We start from the raw sequence: 16,120 nt of genomic DNA, 5'->3' as shown, positions 1-16,120 counted from the left end.
AAACATCTAAAAAAAAACTACCAATCCTACTCAATCAAACTATTCCAAAAATAGAGGAAGAGGGAATATTCACAAAATATCTGACAAGTACTCCTTAAAATTGTCAGTGTGACCGGCTGGGTGCAGTGGCTCATGCCTGTAATCCCAGAACTTTGGGAGGCCGAGGCGAGTGGATCACCTGAGGTCAGGAGTTCGAAACCAGCCTGGCCAACATGGAGAAACCCCAACTCTACTAAAAATACAAAATTAGCTGGGCGTGGTGGCGCATGCCTGTAATCCCAGCTACTGGGGAGGCTGACGTAGGAGAATCGCTTGAACCTGGGAGGCGGAGGTTGCAGTGAGCCAAGATTGTGCCACTGCACTCCAGCCTGGGCAACAAGAACAAAACTCCATCTCAAACAAAACAAAACAAAACAACTGTCAACATGATCAAAGACAGGAATGTCACAGCCCAGAGGAGCCTAAAGGGAGACGGGATCCTGGAACAGGAAAACATTGAGGAAAAACTAAAGCAATCTGAGGAAAGTATAGACTTTGGTTAATAATAATGCACCACTACTGGTTAAAGAATTGTGAAATGCACTATCCTCACATAAGATGTTAATAGTAGCAGAAAGTGGGTATGGCACCCTGAACTGGATCTTGGAACAGAAAATGAGCATTAGTAGAAAAGCTGGTGAAATTCAAATAAAATCTAGAGCTTGCTTGGTAAGTACTAATGTGCCAAAGTTGGTGTTTTAATTGTGACAAATGTGCCCCAGTGATGTAAAATGTTAACAATGGGGGAGACTGGGAGACTGGGTGAGAGGTATATGGAAATCCCCTTACTAACTCTGCAACTTTTTTTTTTTTCCCTTTTGAGACAGAGTCTCGCTCTGTCGCCCAGGCTGGAGTGCAGTGGTGCGATCTCGGCTCACTGCAAGCTCCGCCTCCCGGGTTCACGCCATTCTCCTGCCTCAGCCTCCCGAGTAGCTGGGACTACAGGCGCCCGCCACCGCACCTGGCTAATTTTTTGTATTTTTAGTAGAGACGGGGTTTAACCGTGGTCTCGATCTCCTGATCTCGTGATCTGCCTGCCTCGGCCTCCCAAAGCGCTGGGATTACAGGTGTGAGCCACCACGCCTGGCCTCTTTTCTTTTCTTGAGACAGGGTCTTACTCTGTTGCCCAGGCTGGAATGCAGTGACGGGATGACGACTCACTGCAGCCTCAGCCTCCTTGGGCTCAGGTGGTCCTCCCACCAGCATAGCTGGAACTACAGGTGCATATCACCATATCCAGCTAATTTTTGTATAATTTGTAGAGAGGGAATTTCACCATGTTGCCCGAGCTGGTCTTGAACTCCTGGGCTCAAGCGACCCACCCACCTTGGCCTCCTAAAGTGCTAGGATTACAGACATTGTTTTCTTTCTGTTCATGGAAATAACTCATTCAACATACCCTTACAGTGAAAAATCCCCCCAAAATACAGAAATGAATAAAGTAGAAAGTGAAGCCTTCCATTATTCCACCTCCCACTGTCAGGTCAATGTATCACATTCTAGACTTTTTCCTCTGTGTATGTGAGTGTTAATTTCTAATCTTTTTACAAACATGGGATGACACCCTACATTTTGGCAACTCACTCAGTTTCGATATAGCATAGACCTCCTTCCATATCAGTCCACATCACATCACTCTCCAGGGTTCTGAATGCTTGTGAGCTATTCCACAACATGGGTGAAACAACTGATTTACCATTTCCTTAAGATGAACATTAAGCGATTTCTAATTTTCCCCCACAAACAATGCTTTAATGAACACCCTCCATCTCACACCTGTATGAACACGCAGGAGAATTTCTTTGGGATAAATCCCTGACTATGGAATTGTGGCTATGATGGCACATTTAAAACACTGTCATCTTACTGCTAAATTATCCTTTCATTATTCTGGGAATGAACTGCCTGCATTCACCCCTCCCAGTGGCACAGCAGGGCACATATCCCCTACCCCTGCCTTCCTCCTTTGGTGATGTCTTTCCTTGAACAGGGCGGGGGTGAGAGGCCACTGTGACAACACAGACGTGGGGGTCGGCAGAGGGACAAGCCATGTGGCTGCCCAATTAGGACCTCAGGGAACAGTATTGGATGTCCCCTTATGAGACTCAGCGTGTGTTTAACTGGCAGGAGTCTTGGTGATTTCTAATCGCCAGTGCCAAGGACAATACCCAACAGAAGTGGGGTGGCTGGCAGGGAGAAGCTAAACGTCGTTTTAAAAATCATGATAACACAATTTTAGATTTGGAAAAAGCCAAGAAAAGAATCCTATCATACAAAGCATCCATTTGCCATTCACTTATTCATTCAACAAATATTTCAGTTCCTTTTAGTTCAGGTTATTCTCAGTATTAGGATTGTCACACTGAACAAAAGAAAGTCTCACTGAACTTCCATCCCACTTGGGGAGACAAATTATAAACACAGTATCAGTGAGTGGCAAGTACTGTATTAGAGTAACAGCCAGCTGCTGTGACAAACCCAAAATTTCAGATGACCACGGAAGGCTTCAAGATCCCAGACGAGGCCAAATGTCCCCACCGCCTAGCTCCAGGGCATCCTCTTCCCAGAACTCAGAACTAATCTCTGTGGCTGGGCAAAGTGGCTCATGCCTGTAACCCCAGCAAGTGATTCTCCTGCCTCAGCCTCCTGAGTAGATGGGATTACAGGCAAGAGCCACCATCCCAGCTAATTTTTGTCTTTTTAGTAGAGACAGGGTAACTCACATGGTCTCAGAGGAACCTGATGAGATGTCGAAGATTGATAGTCACCCTGGACTGGGTGTGGTGGCTCACGCCTGTAATCCTAGCACTTTGGTAGGCTGAGGTGGGTGGATCACTTGAGGTCAAGAGTTTGAGACCAGCCTGGCCAAAATGGTGAAACCCCGTCTCTACTAAAAATACAAAAATTAGCCACGCGTGGTGACATATGCCTATAATCCCAGCTACTCAGGAGGCTGAGGCAGGAGAATCGCTTGAACCTGGGAGGCAGAGGTTGCAGTGAGCCAAGATGGTGTCATTGCACTCCAGCCTGGGCAACAATAGCAAAACTCCATCTAAAAAACAAACAAGCAAACAAAAAAACCAACCAAACAAAAAAAAGTAAGTGTTAGAGGATTGGGGGTAACAATTTTACCTCAATCTAGATCTGAATCAATTAATGAAAAGTTACTGCTAACCTACTATGTGCTACTGTATCCCTCTTAGTGACAATAGACTTTAGCTTCAAATTCATGGTTTCCCCATCTTGCTGGGGTCAGGGGTGGGCTCCATCCCCTTCGGGGAAGAGAGTACTAACTGTCTACCTGGTATCCATCAGCCCCTTCTCCTTTCTAGGAGCCCTGCTTTACCCCAGGGGGCAGTGTGCTTTTGCAGGGAGGCCAGTGATCAGAAGGGGAAGTTGCTGGACAGGGCATCTGGGAAAGCTCTTTATACCATGAGGATTCCATTGAGGCTGCTGTGAGCTATGATTGCGCCACTGCACTCCGGCCTGGGCAAAAGAGCTAGACCTTGTCTCTAAAAAAGAGACAAGAACTCCCTTTGCCACCCCTCCTCTTTCTCCTTCCTGCTTGCACGGTGGATATGGGTGGGACTCCAGCAGGGCCAAGTTTAGCCCTTAGTGTGCCTTTGTTCAAATTTGGAAGAGACTTCTGCTGTGAGCAGGCAAATTAGGAAAAAGACAGCTCCGATGGGCTGAAACATTCCCTGTGAGTACAGGGCCTGGAGTGGCAAGTAGACCACAGGCTGGATTTCAGTCCCTACTCAATCCCTTTGGCAGGGAGCTTGGAGCAGGACACAAACTGCACAACCATCCCTGGCAGCCCTGATCTTGGACTATGAGGCAACTTTGTGGATGGAAAGCACTTGCTGAAGGCAGAGCTAAAAGACAAAAGCCTGGACCCTTGAAAAGGATGGAGCCTCACACCAGCCCTGGCTGACCTCCCTGGGTTTTCTTTTGTTCTTTTTAAAAAAATTTAATAATCTATTTTGAAATAATTTCAAAATTTCAGAAAACTTGCAAGAACCCCTGACAAACACCTCCCCTTTACACAGATTGGCCAATTGTTTTTTCAAAAAAATCTTTTTTATTTTTTTTTTATTTTTGTAGAGATGGGCTCTATGTTGCCGAGGCTGGTCTCGAACTCCTGGGCTCAGCCGATCTTTCCAAAGAGCTGGATTACAGGTGTGAGCCACCGCGCCTGGCATGGCCAGTTGTGAACGTTCTGTCACATCTGTTCAGCTCCCCGCCCCCATCTCTGTCTCCTCTCTCTCCCTTCTTCTCCCTCTTTCTCTATGGGTAAATCCTTGAGAGTAGTTGGCAAACATATGTCATCACCCCTAAATCCTCCAGCATGTGTATCCCCCAAACAGGGACAATCTAATGACCCCCGAAATCACCTCTGACTCCTTAAGAAAAACATAAAACTTCCACCCAACTCACTCATTTCGGTTTTCTGTTTAAGTAGCCAAACCAATTCTAACTGCTCCCCTCTTTACCCTTAAAATCCATGGGGCTGTGGAAAAGACCACACCATGACCAGTGCCCTGCACCATGCTCTGCTCCAATCCCTCACACCTGTTAGCACCTTTTGGCCTCACAGCTTTTCGTGTTTGCAATTGAGCTGAAAGTCAGGTAACATAAAATACATCATTTTAAAGTGTGTAATTCAAGGCCAGGTGTGGTGGCTCATGCCTGTAATCCCAGCACTTTGGGAGGCTGAGGCGGGCAGATCACTTGAGGTCAGGAGTTCGAGACCAGCCTGACCAACAAGGTGAAACCCCATCTCTACTAAAAATACAAAAATTGGCCAGGTGTGGTGGCGGGCGTCTGTAATCCCAGCTACTTGGGAGGCTGAGGCAGGAGAATCGCTTGAAGCAGGAGGCGGAGTTTGCAGTGAGCCAAGATTGCGCCGCTGCACTCCAGCCTGAGCGACAGAGCGACACCCTGTCATTCGTTCATTCAAAATTAAATAAATAAATAAAGTGTGTAATTCAGTGGCATTTAGTACAGTTACAATGTTGTGTAACCACCGCCTCTATCAAGTTCCAAAGCATCAGCCCACAAGGAAGCCCCCCACCCATGGCACAGCTGCTCCCTGCTCCACCCGCCCTGGTCACCCCGATCACTTTCTGTCTCCACGGATCCCCTGCTGCCTGGCCCTGCATAGAAACAGAACTGCACATCCTGCACCGCCTCAGAACAGTTGCAGGAGCAGCTCTTTCTTCCCAGGTGCTCCTCCCTCCTCTTACTATAGCATCCATTTAGGGTTCACTTCGCCAGCACCCCTTTGGGGCTCTCCCTAGAGCCTCACCTGAGGTCAAGTTCTCCCAGCACATATCCTCAGAAACCCGAGGTTTCCATTATCAGCATTTGTCACTATTACAATTATTCTTCAGGGCTGTTTCATTCATGCTTTCTGTAGTTAGATTATAAAGTCTATTAGGGGCAGGGTGTGGTGGCTCATATCTGTAATCCCAGTGCTTTGGGAGGCAGAGGCAGGAGATTTGCTCAAGGTCAGGAGTTTGAGACCAGCCTGGGCAACATAGGGAAAGCCCGTCTCTACAAATAATAATAATGGCCAGGCACGGTGGCTCATGCCTGTAATTCCAGCACTTTGGGAGGCTGAGACGGGCAGATCACTTGAGGTCAGGAGTTCGAGACCAAGCCTGGCCAACATGGCGAAACCCCATCTCTACTAAAAATACAAAAATTAGTTGAGTGTGGTGGTGCATGTCTGTAGTCCCAACTACTCGGGAGGCTGCGGCCAGAGGTTTGCTTGAACCCAGGAGGCAGAGGTTGCAGTGAGCCAAGATTGTGCTACTGCACTCCAGCCTGGGTGACAGAATGAGACTCTGTCTCAAAAAAATAAACAAAATACATAAGTAATTAAAAAAATAAAATAATAATAATAATACTTCTTAACAAGGGCATGTCTGTCTTGTTTATCACTATATACCAGGGCCTAGGCCAAAATCCGGCATGGAACAGGCCAAAATATTAACAGTAATATTTTGTTAATTGAATAACTAGATGATTGCTCCCACGGAGGAGTCATCTTGTATCGCCCCAGCTGTGACATAGGCAGCCCCTACACTCGGGGGCCTGCCCGCCTCTCAAATGCCCATATATGGACATGATGCAGGCCACCTGGCCATGGTTTGTGAGGTCCCAGCCCCTTTGCCCTCACAATGACCAACGGCCCCCTGGCATCTATAACAGGCCGCAGAGCTGGCCCCTGACTCACAGCCCACAGAGTTCCACCTGCTCACAGGTTGGCTGGCTCAGCCAAGGTGGTGCCCTGCTCTGAGCATTCAGGCCAAGCCCATCCTGCACCATGGCCAGGTACAGATGCTGTCGCAGCCAGAGCCGGAGCAGATATTACCGCCAGAGACAAAGAAGTCGCAGACGAAGGAGGCGGAGCTGCCAGACACGGAGGAGAGCCATGAGTAAGTGGGCCCAGCTGAGGGTGGGCTGGGGCTGAGGCTGGGAGCTCTCAGGGCCCAGCCTTCCTCTCACCACTTTTCTTGGTCTCACCAGGGTGCTGCCGCCCCAGGTACAGACCGCGATGTAGAAGACACTAATTGCACAAAATAGCACATCCACCAAACTCCTGCCTGAGAATGTTACCAGACTTCAAGATCCTCTTGCCACATCTTGAAAATGCCACCATCCAATAAAAATCAGGAGCCTGCTAAGGAACAATGCCGCCTGTCAATAAATGTTGAAAAGTCATCCCACTCTTCTCTCCTTGTTCTTGAGAGGGGAGGCTCAGTGGGGAGGAGGGCTCGGGGATGAGCAGAGGGGGAGAGGGCCTGGGCATGCAACGGGAGAAAGATGTCGGTGGGGGGGACATGAAAGACAGTTGTCACGCTGGGTTTTGTTCCAAACTTTTTTTTTTTTTTGAGACAGAGTCTCGCTCCGTCGCCCAGGATGGAGTGCAGTGGCGCGATCTTGGCTCACTGCAAGCTCCGCCTCCCAGGTTCACTCCATTCTCCTGCCTCAGCCTCCCGAGTAGCTGGGACTACAGGTGCCCGCCACCACACCTGGCTAATTTTTTGTATTTTTAGTAGAGACGGGGTTTCACTGTGTTAGCCAGGATGGTCTCGATCTCCTGACCTCATGATTCACCTGCCTCGGCCTCCCAAAGTGCTGGGATTACAGGCATGAGCCACTGCACCTGGCCATTGTTCCAAACTCTTAGTAGTACCAACAAGTCACAACCCAAACCTGCCTCCCTAAGATACAACAAGAACCAGTCTCCCCAAGTCACAACCAGAACCTGCCTCCTAAACCCTCTTAACAGATCCCTACCCAGTGGGGTGCTCTATCCAGGTCTCTCGAGTTTGAGGACCCACTGTGTACATTTCCCCACTCTGCTTGGTGACCTCATCTTGGCAGCTTGAAATGGACCATGGAGTATTTACAGAAATCAGCAAATGCTACAAATCTGGGTTCCCTCCATCCCAGGAACCCCAAAGCCAGTTAAACATTTACCAGCTGGAGCTCAAGATTGAACCAGCTCATCCCATCTGACCTGTCCCCTAGCTGCCCACCCGGGTTTATTTCAGCCCAAAGCTGAAATTTCCACTCTTCAACAAAGGAACTCTTAGGTTATAACTTAAATAGATTAAGCCAGTCACCATCAGGAAAATTAAATTCAAAACTGCTTATTCCTCACTCTGTGCCAGAAGTTTTCATCCCCATTTGGGTACAGAGATAACTTGTCCAGGTAGCAGTGGAGCTGAACTTTTCACATTTAATCAAGCACCATTAAGGAAGTCTCTTATCTGCCATCCTGTAAACTCAAACATTTTTGTTAACCACCGGTTTCTTTACTCTTTGGGGCACGGTTTCACAACGTTATGTCCACCGAAGAAACAAAGGTTAACTTGTCCATCTGGTCGGATCTAAGTCCACACTCAAGCTGCTTGATATACCACCTATACTAAAATTTCTAAGGCAAGAGTTTAAGACCCCAGTGAGATCTGGGGAAGGACATAAGAAGTCCTGCTGGGCACTGGTCTCCTTGGCTCACCCACAGCCTAAGAAAGCCCACCTCTCCGATTCCTTGACACAGGCCCTGGGTCACAGTCATTTCCTGATGGTAGAGCAAACCCAGAGCATTTTGGCAGAGACCAGAGGCTCTGAGACCCAGTTCCCTGAAGTGACAGGGCCCACCAAGCACCTCAGAAATGTCACAGTATGACTTCTGTTTATGGGACACCAACTGTGTGCCTGGTATTCTGCATACATCACTTCCTTTTTTTTTTTTTTTTGAGACAAGGTCTCTTTCTGTCACCCAGGCTAGAATAGAGTGCAGTAGCGCAAACACAGTTCACTGCAGCCTCAATCTCCTGAGCTCAAGTGATTTCCTTACCTCAGCCTCCTGGACTCCTGAGTAGCTGGGACCACAGACATGCACCACCTTGCCTGGCTAATTTTTCTAATTTTTTTGTAGAGACGAGGTCTCACTATGTTGCCCAGGCTGGTCTCAAACTCCTGGGCTCAAGCGATTCTCCTGCCTTGGCCTCCCAGAGTGCTGTGATTACAGGCATGAGCCACTGCACTCACCTACGGTGGGTATCAACAACCATGTTCTTTCAAGTGAGCACATGAGAGTTCAGTGCTAGCCCTGGCACTACCATGACCCTGATCACTTTAGCAATGACTCCCCATAACACACTCGGATCATGATAGCAGCTTGGCTGGACAGGCAGACCCCTGGGTGTGCCTTTTTTTTTTTTTTTTTTGAGATAAGGGTCTTGCTCTGTCACCCAGGCTGGAGTGCAGTGGTGTGAACGTGGCTCACTGCAGCCTTGATCTGTGCTCAAGCAATCCTCCCATCTCAGCCTCCTGAGTAGCAGGAACTACAGGCACATGCCACCATGGACCCAGGCTATTTTTTTTATTTTTTGTAGACAGAGCCCTCACTATGTTGCCCAGGGTGGTCTCAAACTCCTGGGCTCAAGTGATCTTCCCACCTCGGCCTCTCAAAGTGCTGGGATTACAGGTGTGAGCCACCACACCCAGCCCCTTCCTATGTTTATTTTATTTTATTTTATTTTTTTAGACGAAGTTTCGCCCTTGTTGCCGAGGCTGGAGCGCAATGGTGCCATCTCAGCTCACTGCAACCTCTGCCTCCTGGGTTCAAGCAATTCTCCTGCCTCAGCCTCCTGAGTAGCTGGGATTACAGGCGCCCGCCACCACTCCCGGCTAATTTTTGTATATTTAGTAGAGACAGGGTTTCACCATGTTGACTAGGCTGGTCTTGAACTTCTGACCTCAGGTGATCCACCCGCCTCAGCCTCCCAAAGTGCTACGATTACAGGTGTGAGCCACCGAGCCCTGCCCCGCCCCTTCTTATTTTCATCTGCAAGCTTTGGCCATGGAGATTTGACTTAGCGGGACGTAGGGTAAGGCCTCAGCATTCATATTTTTAACACGCGCCCTCGAAGAGCTTGAGGGCCATCATAAAGGACCTTCTTATCCCTAAAGAGAGGCAGCATAGAAACACCAAGGGCATGGCAATATCACCCATCACCTCCTGTAAGGATCTGAAGATTAAGCCTCCTGAATTTGTTTCTTATTGCCACTGTGACAGATCATCACAAATTTTGTAGCTTTAAACAACATAAATGCATTATCTTACAGGTCTGCAGGTCAGAATTCTGAAAGAAGTCTCATGGGGCTAAAATCAAGGGGTCAGCAGGGCTGTGTTCCTCCTGGATGCACGAGGGGAGGATAACCCATTTCCTTGTCCATCCCAGCTTCTAGAGGCCGCCTGCATCCCTTGGCTTATAGCCTCTCCCTCCATCTTCAAAGCCAGCAGTGTGGTGTCTCCCAGTTTCTCTTCCTGTGACCCTCCTGCCTCCCTATTCTCTCTTCTAAGGACCCTCGTGACTGCACTGGGCCAACCCAGATCATCTGGGATGATCTCTGCATCTTCAAGTCCTTAAATTTGTGTATCTGCCACATTCCCACATTCTCCCTGCCCTCCATGAAAGGGAAACTGGTTTTGCAGTTTCTGTGATTCTGATCCCGGACTTTAATGGGATCATCAAAGTTCAATGAGAAGCCCCGGCAAGGCCGAGCGGGAGGGGAGAAGATGAATATTTTGGAGGCGGAGAGGGGAGCATTCCCTGGGCTAGGGAGGAGGTGGAGAGCCAAGGGTATGACTAAAACCAGGCTGTCTCCGTCTGAATGCTGGCCCGGCCTGGCCTTCTCAGCAGAGTGGCCTTGAGCAACTCAACTTCTTCATGCCTGTTTGCCCCACAGAAAATGAGGATTGTAAGAGTGAGGAATGCAAGGGTGGTGGCTCACACCTGTAATCCCAGCACTCTGGGAGGCCGACATGGGAGGCTCACTGAGGCCAGGAGTGTGAGACCAGCCAGGGCAACATGGTGAAACCCTATCTATCTCCACAAAAAATACAAAAAATTAGCTGGGAGTGGCAGCACACGCCTATAGTCCCAGCTACTCGGGAGGCTGAGGTGGCAGGATCATCTGAGCTGGAGGGGTAGAGGCTGCTATGATCCATGATTGCACAACTGCACTCCAGCCTGGGCGACAGACAGTGCCTCAAAACAAAAAGAGGAGAGAGAGAGAGAGAGAGAGAGAGAGAGAGAATGAGTGAATGTATGGGAAATAAATGAATCAATGCTTGGCACATAGGAGCTATTAGGGAACTGTTTGCTGCTGTTGCCATCTTAACAGTAAGCTGTGTGCACAGAGATCCAAGCACGGAAGTCCCTTCCACATGGTGGCTGTGGCACAGCAGTGAGTTGGCAAGGAAGCTTCCAAATGACAATGTGCGCACCCACCGGCTTGGGGAGATGAGGGCTTGGATTAGGCAATAAAACACCTGCCATCTGTATGGTTCACCTACTGCAAGAGACAGAGGACATGCTTTACAGGCAAGGCAAGGGGGTCTCTCGCCCTTCCAGCCCTGCAGCTTGGGTGCCAGGGCCCTGCTAGTTGTGACCCCTGGCCCTGTGCTGCCCTCACAGAGGAGGCTGGGCAGGGTGGGGACTGGGCGGGGCCGCAGAGTCATAGTGGGCGCCCCCTTTATATACAAGCTCCCGGGGAGCCTTGCAGACCAGACCAACAGTAACACCAAGGGCAGGTGGGCAGGCCTCCGCCCTCCTCCCCTACTCCAGGGCCCACTGCAGCCTCAGCCCAGGAGCCACCAGATCTCCCAACACCATGGTCCGATACCGCGTGAGGAGCCTGAGCGAACGCTCGCACGAGGTGTACAGGCAGCAGTTGCATGGGCAAGAGCAAGGACACCACGGCCAAGAGGAGCAAGGGCTGAGCCCGGAGCACGTCGAGGTCTACGAGAGGACCCATGGCCAGTCTCACTATAGGCGCAGACACTGCTCTCGAAGGAGGCTGCACCGGATCCACAGGCGGCAGCATCGCTCCTGCAGAAGGCGCAAAAGACGCTCCTGCAGGCACCGGAGGAGGCATCGCAGAGGTCTGCCTGCGCCCCCGCCTTGCCCTGCATGTCCCTGACCACCCCAGGCACAGGAGGGAGGCGGGGACCCACCCCACCTGACAAAAGCTCCAGCCCCCTAACCCCCGTCCCCACCCAGAGTCCCTAGGTGACCCCCTCAACCAGAACTTTCTTTCCCAAAAGGCTGCAGAACCAGGAAGAGAACATGCAGAAGGCACTAAGCTTCCTGGGCCCCTCACCCCCAGCTGGAAATTAAGAAAAAGTCGCCCGAAACACCAAGTGAGGCCATAGCAATTCCCCTACATCAAATGCTCAAGCCCCCAGCTGGAAGTTAAGAGAAAGTCACCTGCCCAAGAAACACCGAGTGAGGCCATAGCAACTCCCCTACATCAAATGCTCAAGCCCTGAGTTGCCGCCGAGAAGCCCACAAGATCTGAGTGAAACGAGCAAAAGTCACCTGCCCAATAAAGCTTGACAAGACACTCGCTGGCCTGTCGGGTTTTCTTTGCACGAATCACACAAACCTGGCTTCCCTCACGCCCAGGGCGGGTAGAGGCTTCTCTGCAGCCCTTCCTCAGAGGCAGGTAGGGCGGGAGTTCTGATGCTCTCAGGACACCTAGGAGAGGGTTACTGTGCCTGGGAGGCCACCCTATGATGCTGTCCTGTCTATTGTGCATCCTTCCATGGTGTCAAAGGCCACATTAGTCTGTCTGGATCCCCCTCCAGTGAAGAACCTGATCCTACCTCATGAAAGGAGAAAATGGTTAGAACAGATCGAGTCCTAATTAAGTCACAAAGATGCCAAGGCACCTTGTGGCCATATTTAAATGCCTACTGTGTGCCACAGTTTAAAAACACAACCCATCTTGAGTGTTGGGTGGTTGGAAGTGTAAACGGTGGGGGCAGAGGTGGGGGCACTGCTCAGTGCAGGCCACAGCTTCGAGGTGGGAAACAGGTCTGGCATGCTCCAGCAACAACTTGGTCAGCACAGAGACGGCAAAAGGCAAGGAGTAGATGAATGCAGAGTAATGGGCTGCGCTGTGTGAGGCCTGTGCTGGCTGAAGCCTCTGGAGACCCAGGCAGAATCCGATCCTTGTTGCCTGCTCTCCTCGGCCTGTGGCTGCATCACTCCTCCCTCCTGTCTGAAATCAAGGACCCTTGTGATTGCACTGAGGGACTTTCTGGACAACCCAAGATAACCTCCCCATCTCACAATCCTTACATCATAGATTCCAGGATCAGGAAGGGGGCACTTCGGAGAGTGCCAACCTTAGCCAACCATAGCCACTGAGGACTGGGGGGATAAGACTGGCAAGATCCAATCCATATGTTGGCAAATGGATTTCTGGTGCTCAGAAATGACCAATCTTTAGGAAGCAACGAGTTTCTGAAAACAAAACAACAACAACAAAAAAAAAAACAGACGGAGTTTCGCTCTTGTCACTGGGGCGGTGTGCAGTGGTGCGATCTTGGCTCACTGCAACCTGCACCTCCTATGTTCAACTGATTCTCCTCCCTAACCTCCTGAGTAGCTGAAGGAGCTAAACAAATTTTTTTTTTTTTTTTTTTTTGGTATTTTTAGTAAAGACATGGTTTCACGATGTTGGCCAGGCTGGTCTCGAACTTCTGACCTCAGATGATCTGCCTGCCTCGCCTCCCAAAGTGCTGGGATTACAGGTGTGAGCCACCACGCCTGGCCTCAAAAAATTTATATTTAAAAAATACCATTGCAGTGTACAAACGACTCATTTCAATGTATAAAAGACAAAGTCCTAAACCCCCTCCCCCCATGCTGAAATTGTGCTGCACAGATGTGGAACCTTGCCAAGGGGCAGCTCCATGATGTCTTCTCTGTGGCCCCAAAACACTTAAGAGGATGTCACTCCACCCTGACCTGGGTAGAGTGGCCTCTGGTTGGTGGTGTCCATCTTGCATCAGTCAGGGACAAAGCAACCCCTTGTTCATCCCAGCTTGGTTTCTGGCCTGTTCCCATGCCTTGGACAAACAAACAATGCTTAGGAGCCATTGCCTTTCAAGAAGATTTCACACTTTCAGGCCCCCGAAGGAAGACTTCCAAGGGTTCCTGAGTTTTATGAGCTTACAGAGTGCATACATTTTAAGCACACAGCTTGATGATTTATTTCCAAGGGTTAACAGTCAAGAAACTCAACAGAGACAGCTCTCTCTGGCTGGCGATTTCTGGGATGTGGGGAGGAGTCTGTGTGTGCCCCTCCTGCTTCTAGAAATTCAATCCCTAACTCCCATCCCAGCTACAAGGGAAACTTTCTCCAGGGCAAATGAGGACTATGGTGTGGCATCCGAACTGGCCCCAGTGCTCAGCCTTGCAGACCTCCCCTGTGGGGGCTGGGAGCTGCCAGTGGCTGAGGTGTGAGTTAACTGTTGGCTCAGACCCAGGTTCCCAAGTGGGGATGGGCTCCCTTTGTGATGTCAGCATCCTGCCCCCACTCGCAGCCCCTTCACCCACCGCCTCACCTCCTTGCCCAGAGAGACAGGCAACGTAGACCATGGGTTCCCGCTGTGCCAAGCTCAACACAGGCCAGAGCCCAGGCCACAGCCCAGGCCACAGCACGGGCCATGGCCGGGGCCACGAATCCTCCATGAAAAAGCTCATGGCCTGTGTGAGTCAGGATAACTTCTCCTTGTCATCAGCGGGCGAGGAAGAGGAGGAAGAGGAGGAGGAGGGGGAAGAGGAGGAGAAAGAAGAGCTGCCGGTGCAGGGCAAGCTGCTGCTGCTGGAGCCTGAGCGGCAGGAGGAGGGCCACAAGGACAACGCCGAGGCCCAGCAGAGCCCCGAGCCCAAGCGGACACCCTCCTGACCCGCAACGAAGGCCCAGGAAGGGACGCCCACTGCTGCTCCGGCGACAGTGTTCAGAGAAGAGTCAATAAAAAGTCTCTGAGGAATCCTCCCTGTCTCTGGTTCCCCTCACCCTATCCCTTCTGGCCCCACGTGTGCACGTGTGTGAAGGCGTGTGTGTGTGGGTGCACACGGAGGGAGGCCAGCTGCCAAGGAAGGCTGAACAGCAAGGCTCGGTGACCTTGTTCCCAAGCCCCAGCCAGAGGTTGAGGGGCTTTGAGAGGGGGAAATCATCTCCGCCAAATCTTCCCATCTCTGGGACGGGAAATTCCTCTGCGAGTCCCAGCACACCCCAGCCGAGAGCATCCAGCGGGACAGGGTAACTGCCTTCATCGCAGTCCCCACTGTGCTGCCCCAACTATGGACCGTCTTTTAAGAACACTGGCTTGGGAGTTCAGCAGACCTGGGTTCAAACTTCTTTTCTGGTAGCTGCGTGCCCTTGAGCAAGTCACTGCGTGTCTTTGAGCCTCAGGCTGCCCCTCCCAGCGTTTAGGGGAAGCTAATAGCTACTCATGGGTCAGATGATCAGAAAAATTAGCTCAAGTGATGGGTGGGACCAGGCCTGGCACCAGTCAGTGCTGAGCTAGGACAGGGATTGTTGCTGGGGTCATGGTGGTTCCTCTAGGTCCTTCTTGGCTGCAGACTCTTCCACTGCCAGTCTATGCTGCTGGCAACCACCTGCACCCCTACCTGGAAGCTCACTCCCGCCTTCTTCAAGGGGTCTAGCCCTGGGGGCGGAGACAGTACCCCATGAGAGCAGTAGGCAAAAGAGGCCCAGGGAGGCGACTGGGTACAGACACAGAACCTAGGCCCCATCCTCTCGCTCTGGGCTCGGTGCGCCTTCCGCAAGGAGCTTCGGAGTGCGTCTGCTGCCCACCCTACTGCCGGCTCCTCCCTCACTCCTTCCATCCCAAAGAAGCCACAAATGCGATCTCCACCACATTCCCTCACAGTCCTCCAAGCACCAGCCACCTTGAGCTAATTCTCTGGATCAGCTGATCCCCTGTTCCCGAGGGGATCCTAGTTGGTACCGTGGCAGTGGGGCTGGGGGATGGGGAATTTTCAGGGAAGCCTCGGTTTCTCTGGGGGCCATGTTTGACGTAGGAAGGAGCCTTGGGCTACCCTGTGGGGAGGCCACGGCTCTGCCCGGCAATGGCCTAGGGCAAGGGAGGCCCTGTTATCCCACTACTCCCAGACCCACAAATGACTCGGTTGGTCAGCCTTGTCCTTTTGTCCAAGGCCCAAAGGTCCACCCACCCATTCATTTGCCCAGGAAACATGAGCTGAGTCCCTGTTGTATGCCCCACATGGTGCTAGTCACAAGGAGCCCTGGTAATAAAACATAGTCCCCGCTGTCCTGGGAGAGAGTTCACTGTCATGGGTGCGGGGGCAGGTACGTGACGTGCCGCACACCCGCTGCTGGGAGAGGTCAGCCCTCCCTGGGAGGACTGGAAAGGTGTGTGGAGGAGAGGCTGGTTGATGGCAGGCCACGATCTCCATTCCAGGCTATGTGCTTCAGGATGGGAAAGTGGGGCGTTGGCAGTGGAGGAGCAGGAGACCATGGGAAGGGGGGTCCAGAGACCCAGAGAGTCTTCACGGCTTGGTCTAGCATATACCCCACAACCGGACCTGCTGAGGCCACCCAAGGCAGGGCCCTGAGAACCCTGCTGCAGCTGTCCCTCTAATCGCCGAGAATCCCTTAGTGACCTCGAGAGGAGGCCAGACCTGAATATGACTGGCTCTGCCGTGATCGGCTA

At 51.2% G+C, this 16,120-nt stretch overlaps 3 protein-coding genes, 1 long non-coding RNA gene and 1 pseudogene across 9 annotated transcripts in view, besides 4 other annotated features; 4 read left to right on the top strand and 1 right to left on the bottom strand.

Moving 5' to 3' along the window:
* The window catches only part of LOC105371082 (uncharacterized), a 146,190-nt gene that overhangs the window by 108,182 nt on the left and 21,888 nt on the right, over positions 1-16,120 (bottom strand). The window lies entirely within an intron of this gene.
* Positions 501-1,001: an enhancer, noted in NCBI's record as "H3K4me1 hESC enhancer chr16:11380465-11380965 (GRCh37/hg19 assembly coordinates)". NCBI's record gives its function as "activates a minimal SCP1, AML or CMV promoter by ChIP-STARR-seq in primed H9 embryonic stem cells {active_cell/tissue: H9 hESC(primed)}" and the evidence as "EXISTENCE:reporter gene assay evidence [ECO:0000049][PMID:30033119]".
* Positions 804-953: an enhancer, noted in NCBI's record as "active region_10429". NCBI's record gives its function as "activates an Ori minimal core promoter by ATAC-STARR-seq in GM12878 lymphoblastoid cells {active_cell/tissue: GM12878}" and the evidence as "EXISTENCE:reporter gene assay evidence [ECO:0000049][PMID:35858748]".
* Positions 1,002-1,502: an enhancer, noted in NCBI's record as "H3K4me1 hESC enhancer chr16:11379964-11380464 (GRCh37/hg19 assembly coordinates)". NCBI's record gives its function as "activates a minimal SCP1, AML or CMV promoter by ChIP-STARR-seq in primed H9 embryonic stem cells {active_cell/tissue: H9 hESC(primed)}" and the evidence as "EXISTENCE:reporter gene assay evidence [ECO:0000049][PMID:30033119]".
* On the top strand, positions 6,279-6,768 carry PRM1 (protamine 1). The gene is made up of 2 exons (NM_002761.3): positions 6,279-6,482; positions 6,574-6,768. Exons 1-2 carry the CDS (start codon positions 6,371-6,373, stop codon positions 6,615-6,617), a joined length of 156 nt encoding a protein of 51 aa, NP_002752.1. The 5' UTR covers positions 6,279-6,370; the 3' UTR covers positions 6,618-6,768.
* Positions 11,129-11,970, top strand: PRM2 (protamine 2). Of its 6 annotated transcripts, NR_104428.2 has the most exons (3): positions 11,129-11,509; positions 11,672-11,772; positions 11,858-11,970. NR_104428.2 is itself a non-coding variant. In NM_001286357.2 (2 exons), exons 1-2 carry the CDS (start codon positions 11,239-11,241, stop codon positions 11,707-11,709), a joined length of 234 nt encoding a protein of 77 aa, NP_001273286.1. In that variant the 5' UTR covers positions 11,129-11,238; the 3' UTR covers positions 11,710-11,970. The 6 variants fall into 6 exon arrangements, 5 of the variants coding, with proteins under 5 accessions (NP_001273286.1, NP_001273287.1, NP_002753.2 ...); NM_001286357.2 differs by having other exon boundaries at positions 11,129-11,465; positions 11,703-11,970; NM_001286358.2 differs by having other exon boundaries at positions 11,679-11,970.
* Positions 13,373-13,496, top strand: LOC124900380 (uncharacterized; annotated as a pseudogene).
* On the top strand, positions 13,980-14,410 carry PRM3 (protamine 3). Its single transcript, NM_021247.3, has one exon. The coding sequence runs from the start codon at positions 14,014-14,016 to the stop codon at positions 14,323-14,325; it is 312 nt and encodes a 103-aa protein (NP_067070.2). The 5' UTR covers positions 13,980-14,013; the 3' UTR covers positions 14,326-14,410.
* Positions 14,899-15,595: an enhancer, noted in NCBI's record as "H3K4me1 hESC enhancer chr16:11365871-11366567 (GRCh37/hg19 assembly coordinates)". NCBI's record gives its function as "activates a minimal SCP1, AML or CMV promoter by ChIP-STARR-seq in naive H9 embryonic stem cells {active_cell/tissue: H9 hESC(naive)}" and the evidence as "EXISTENCE:reporter gene assay evidence [ECO:0000049][PMID:30033119]".

Source organism: Homo sapiens, chromosome 16 (assembly GCF_000001405.40).
Source record: "Homo sapiens chromosome 16, GRCh38.p14 Primary Assembly".
In the NCBI taxonomy this organism is placed as follows: Eukaryota; Metazoa; Chordata; class Mammalia; order Primates; family Hominidae; genus Homo; species Homo sapiens.
The sequence above is the reverse complement of the archived record's forward strand: the minus strand, read 5'-3'. Positions and strand labels throughout refer to the sequence as shown.

Coding starts and splice junctions, on each gene's coding strand:
- PRM3 (NM_021247.3), top strand. CDS start 14,014: ATGGGTTCCCGCTGTGCCAAGCTCAACACAGGCCAGAGCCCAGGCCAC.
- PRM1 (NM_002761.3), top strand. CDS start 6,371: ATGGCCAGGTACAGATGCTGTCGCAGCCAGAGCCGGAGCAGATATTAC. Junction 6,483..6,573: donor GACACGGAGGAGAGCCATGA/GTAAGTGGGCCC, acceptor TGGTCTCACCAG/GGTGCTGCCGCCCCAGGTAC.
- PRM2 (NM_001286356.2), top strand. CDS start 11,239: ATGGTCCGATACCGCGTGAGGAGCCTGAGCGAACGCTCGCACGAGGTG. Junction 11,510..11,627: donor CCGGAGGAGGCATCGCAGAG/GTCTGCCTGCGC, acceptor GTCCCCACCCAG/AGTCCCTAGGTGACCCCCTC.